Source organism: Homo sapiens, chromosome 11 (genome assembly GCF_000001405.40).
Source record: "Homo sapiens chromosome 11, GRCh38.p14 Primary Assembly".
In the NCBI taxonomy this organism is placed as follows: domain Eukaryota; kingdom Metazoa; phylum Chordata; class Mammalia; order Primates; family Hominidae; genus Homo; species Homo sapiens.
Genome location: NC_000011.10, coordinates 112045480 through 112051488, shown reverse-complemented (window position 1 = coordinate 112051488; position 6009 = coordinate 112045480). Strand labels below are relative to the sequence as shown.

The following is a 6009-nucleotide window of genomic DNA, read 5'->3' as shown; positions in this document are numbered from 1 at the left end:
GTTGTTTTCAAGTTGTTTGACCTATGTAAGTCATCTGCCTCTCTGTATTCCATTTCTCCTTATCCCCTCAACTCCACTCACACATTAAATAATACAAGAAAACTACCGATGGATATATATCTTCCCCAGTTATACTTACTGTCTTATAACTGTGTCCATCCAAGAAGAATTTGCTTCGGGAACTTTTAAACATGCCAAAGCTGAAGCTTTTATGATGAAGTCATTGACAGAAATTTTGCTTCTCCCTTCTAATATCTGGAAAGACAAGAAGAACTGTAGTTTCTTCTTTTTTAATTTTAATTTTAATTTTAAGTTTCAGGGTGCATGTGCAGAATGTCCAGGTTTATTATATAGGTAAACATGTGCCATGGTGGTTTGCTGCACCTGTCAACCCATCACCCAGGTATTAGGCCTCACATGCATCAGCTATTTTTCCTAATGCTTTCCCTCCCCGGACAACTGTAGTTTCTAAATTCTCTCACCAAAGAGTAAAACTGTATAATCGTGAGAAAAGGAGGAAGAGAAAGAGAATATACAAATATCCTGAGGTGGAAAGAAAGAAATGAAACCAAACATTGGTTCTTTCATCTTTTTAAATGCGGACTCTTACAGCTGTTTCCTGCTAAGCACTGCTTTAGCATAATCCCATAAGTTACAGTATGTTATGTCATCATTTTCATTCATCTCAACAATAACAAAATTTGGTTCTTTGAAAAGATCAATCAAATGACAACCACAATGATAAATGTTTAGTTAGACTGACCAAGAAGAGGAGAGAAGACTAGAATTTCTAAAATTAGGAGTGAAATAGGGGACATTACTATCTACCTTACAGAAGTAAAAAGAATTATAGGGAATACTATGAACAACCATACAGACACAAGCTACCAAAACTGAACCAAGGAGAAACAAAAACTCTGAATAGACCTATAACTAACAAAGAGATTGAACTGGTAATTTAAAAACTACCCATGTAGAAAAGCTTAGACCCAAATGGCTTCGTCAGTATTCTACCAAATATTAAAGAAGAATTAATATCAATTCCTCACAAATTCTTTCAAAGAAAAATCAAAGAAGAGCAAGAAACACTTCCCCACACATTCTGTAAGGCCGGGATTAGCCTGATACCAAAACCAAAGACGACATTAGAAGAAAAAAAAAAAAAAGTACACACTAATATCTTATGAATATAGATGTAAAAATCTTCAACAAAACGCTAGCAAATAAAATCCAGCAATATATAAAAAGGATCATTCACCATGATCAAATCTGATTTATCCCAAGAATGCAAATTTCCATTAACATCTGAAAATCCATTAATGTAATAATGTCCTAACAGAATACAGGACAAAAAACACATAATCATCTCAACAGACACAGAAAGAGCATTTGATAAAATTCAATACCCCTTTTCATGATCAAAACACTCTTACTAACTGGGAACAGGAGGGAACTTGCTCAACCTGATCTATGGAAACCTCACAACTATTTAATGACCAAAGACTTATTCTCCCAAAGATCGAGAACAAGACAAGATGTTCACTTCTGCTACACCTATTCAACATTGCCTAGAGGCGCCAGCCAGAGCAATTAGGCAAGAAAGGAAATAAAAGGCATACAGGTCAAAATGAAAAAAGTAAAATTATCTCTATTTGCAGATAACATTATCTTGTTTACAGAAAAACCTAAGAAATACACTAAAAAACTGTAAGAACTAATAAATGACTTCAGCAAGTTTGCAGGATACAAGGTCAATATAGATCCCATTTCAGCAGGTATATGAAAAAAAAGATCAATATAGAAAAATGAATTGTTATCTCAATTGATTGCTCAGAGTCCATTATAAATCTAACTTCTTTTCTACTCTTCCGCCCTTCTCACTAGTATACCTGACTAGTCTTAAAAAAAAAAAAAAATCAATCATACCTTTATATAGTAGCAATGAACAATCTGAAAATGAAATCTAGAAAACAATTCCACTTAGAGTAGTATCAAAAAGAATAAAATACCTAGAAATAAGTTTAACAAATGCAAATTTAGAGTGCAAAACTTACACTCTGAAAAACTATAAAAAAACTGTTGAAAGAGACTGAAGAACACCTAACTAATACAGGGGCATCTACATGTTCATGGATGAAAAGACTATATTCTTCGGATGGCAACACTTGCCAAACTGATCAGCAGATACATCCAATCAATCCTTATCAAAATGTCAACTGGCTTCAATGCAGAAATTTACAAGCTAATCCTAAAATTCACTTAGAATTGCAAGGGACTCAGACAAAACAATCTTGATTCTGGCTAACACGGTGAAACCCCGTCTCTACTAAAAATACAAAAAATTAGCCGGGCATGGTGGTGGGCGTCTGTAGTCCCAGCTACTTGGGAGGCTGAGGCAGGAGAATGGCATGAACCCGGGAGGCAGAGCTGGCAGTGAGCCAAGATCACGCCACTGCACTCTAGCCTGGGTGACAGAGCAAGACTCTGTCTTTAAAAAAAAAAAAAAAAAAAAAAAAAAATCTTGAGAAAAAAGAACAAAGATGACTCACGTTTCCTGATTTTACAACTTATTACAAAGCTAAAGTAATCAAGACTGTGGTACTGACATTAAGGGTATACAGAGATTAATGGAATGGAATTAAGAACCTGGAAATAGGCCAGGCATGGGGGCTCATGGCTGTAATTCCAGCACTTTGGGAGGCCAAGGTGGGTGGATCATTTGAGGTCAAGAGTTCGAGACCAGCCTGGCCAACATGGTGAAATCCTGTCCCTACTAAAAATACAAAAATTAGCCATGCCTGGTGGCTCATACCTGTAATCCCAGCTACTCGGGAGGCTGAGGGACGAGAATTGCTTGAACCTGGAAGGTGGAGGTTGCAGTAAGCCAAGATCACGCCACTGCACCCCAGTCTGGGCAACAGAGTGAGACTCAGTCTCAAAAATTGGCACATGACAAGGATGCTCTCTCTCACCACTCCTATTCAGCATAGTATTGGAAGTTCTGGCCAGGGCAATCAGGCAAGAGAAAGAAATAAAGAGTATTCAAATAGAAAAAGAGGAAGTCAAATTGTCTGTTTGTAGATGACATGATTGTATAGTTAGAAAACCCCATCATCTCAGTCCAAAATCTCCTTAAGCTGATAAGCAACTTCAGTGAAGTCTCAGGATACAAAATCAATGTGCAAAAATCACAAGCATTCCTACACGCCAATAACAGACAAACAGAGAGCCAAATTGTGAGTGAATTCCTATTCACAATTGCTATAAAAAGAATAGAATACCTAGGAATACAACTTACAAGGGATGTGAAGGACCTCTTCAAGGAGAACTACAAACCACTGCTCAAGGAAATAAGAGAGGACACAAAAACAAATGGAAAAGCATTCCATGCTCATGCATAGGAAGAATCAATATCGTGAAAATGGACATACTGCCCAAAGTAATTTATAAATTCAATGCTATCTTCATCAAGCAACCATTGACTTTCTTCACAGAATTAGAAAAAAACTACTTTAAATTTCATATGGAACCAAAAAAGGGCCCGTATAGCCAAGACAATCCTAAGCAAAAAGAACAAAGCTGGAGGCATCATGCTACCTGACTTCAAACTATACTATAAGGCTACAGTAACCAAAACAGCATGGTACTGGTACCAAAACAGATATATAGACCAATGGAACAGAACAGAAGCCTCAGACATAATGCCACACATTTACAACCATCTGATTTTTGACAAACCTGACAACAACAAGCAATGGGGAAAGGATTCCCTATTTAATCAATGATGTTGGGAAAACTGGCTAGCCATATGTAGAAAACTGAAACTGGACTCCTTCCTTACACCTTATACAAAAAATAACTGAAGATGGATTAAAGACTTAAACGTAAGACCTAAAACCATAAAAACCCTAGAAGAAAACCTAGGCAATACCATTCAGGACACAGGCATGGGCAAAGACTTCATGACTAAAACAACAAAAGCAATGGCAACAAAAGCCAAAATAGACAAATGGGGTCGAATTAAACTAAAGAGCTTCTGCACAGCAAAAGAAACTATCATCAGAGTGAACAGGCAACCTACAGAATGGGAGAAAATTTTTGAAATCTATCCATCTAACAAAGGGCTAATATCCAGAATCTATAAGGAACTTAAACAAATTTACAAGAAAAAAACAAATGACCCCATCAAAAAGTGGGCAAAGGATATGAACAGACACTTCTCAAAAGAAGACATTTATGTGGCCAACAAACATGAAAAAAAGCTCATCATCACTGGTCATTAAAGAAATGCAAATCAAAACCACAGTGAGTTACCATCTCACGCCAGTTACAATGGCGATCACTAAAAAGTCAGGAAACAACAGATGCTGGAATGTGGAGAAATAGGAACGCTTTTACACTGTTGGTAGGAGTGTAAATTAGTTCAACCCATTGTGGAAGACAGTGTGGCGGTTCCTCAAGGATCTAGAACCAGAAATACCATTTGACCCAGAAATCCCATTACTGGGTATAGACCCAAAGGATTATAAACCATTCTACTATAAAGACACATGCACACATATGTTTACTGCAGCACTGTTCCCAATAGCAAAGACTTGGAACCAAGCCAAATGCCCATCAATGATAGACTGGATAAAGAAAATGTGGCACATACACACCATGGAATACTATGCAGCCATAAAAAAAAGGATGAGTTTGTGTCCTTTGCAGGGACATGGATGAAGCTGGAAACCATCATTCTCAGCAAACTAACACAGGAACAGAAAACCAAACACCGCATGTTCTCACTTGTAAGTGGGAGTTGAACAATGAGAACACATGGACACAGGGAGGGAAACATCACACACCAGGACCTGTAGGGGGGTGGGGGGCTAAGGGGAGGGATAGCATTAGGAGAAATACCTAATGTAGATGATGGGTTGGTGGGTGCAGCAAACCACCATGGCACGTGTATACCTATGTAACAAACCTGCACGTTCTGCACATGTATCCCAGAACTTAAAGTATAATAAAACAAAACAAAACAAAAAATAACAAGATCTACAAAAAAAAAAAAATCTGGAAATAAAATTCTCACATATATGATTAATTTTGACAAGGATACCAAGACAATTCGATGGGGAAAGATGGTGCTGGGATGAAAGAATAAATGTCCACATGCAAAACAATGGTTGGATTCCTATCTCACACCACCTATAAAAAATTAACTCAAAATAGAGCAAAGACCTGAATATAAGAACTAAAAGTATAAAACTGTTACAAGGAAACAAAAGTATAAATCTTCATGACCTTAGACTAGGTAATAGTTTCTTAGATATAATACCAAAAGCACAGAAGAAAAAAATTGATAAAAGTGGACATAACCAATATTTAAAATCTTGTGCTTCAAAGGACAAGATCAAGAAAGTAACCACCAACTGATATATTGTAACAAAATATATGGACAAAAATATAAATGTTTGGTGGGGAAAGACAAAATTTTTATAACTTAGAAAGTTGGAATTTTCAGAACTTTTACCTTATTAAGTTCTTTCCGTACCAACAAAACTTCTCCCATATTTACATCGATAGAAAGGTAATAATGAGGTATGGTTTGCTTTGATTGCATTAATCGCTGTGCAATAACCTGAAACCAAAGAGATTTAAAAAATCAATTATCTTGAGTTAAGACCTTAACTAATTTAGGGCTCTGTTTGTCTCTTCACCTTACTCTCTGCTAATACTTACCTCAAGCATTATTATAATTGAAAGATGGAGGACTCCGCCATAATATAACACCTCCTAGATTTTTTTTTTTTTTTGAGATGGAGTCTCGCTATGTTGCCCAGGCTGGAGTGCGGTGGTGCGATCTCGGCTCACCACAACCTCCATTTCCCAAGTTCAAGCAATTCTCCTGCCTCAGCGTCCCGAGTACTTGGGACTACAGGCATGTGCCACCATGCCCGGCTAATTTTTGTATCTTTAGTAGAGACGGGGTGTTTCACTATGTTGGCCAGGCTGGTCTCGAAG

General features: G+C 37.2%; 1 protein-coding gene across 14 annotated transcripts in view; it reads right to left on the bottom strand.

The window, feature by feature from the left end:
- The window catches only part of DLAT (dihydrolipoamide S-acetyltransferase), a 38997-nt gene that overhangs the window by 12916 nt on the left and 20072 nt on the right, over positions 1-6009 (bottom strand). For 11 of the 14 annotated variants that reach the window (NR_164072.1, NM_001372042.1, NM_001931.5 and 8 more), the window contains 2 exons: positions 5519-5626; positions 140-255 (listed from right to left, as the gene is read on the bottom strand). Coding sequence is in view for 13 of the 14 variants with exons in the window: in NM_001372042.1 (NP_001358971.1) it covers positions 140-255; positions 5519-5626 (224 nt within the window). In the remaining variant the exon portion in view is untranslated. Of the gene's footprint in view, positions 1-139; positions 274-5518; positions 5627-6009 lie in introns of all 14 variants that reach the window. The other 3 variants (NM_001372035.1, NM_001372041.1, NM_001372031.1) reach the window with 2 other exon arrangements.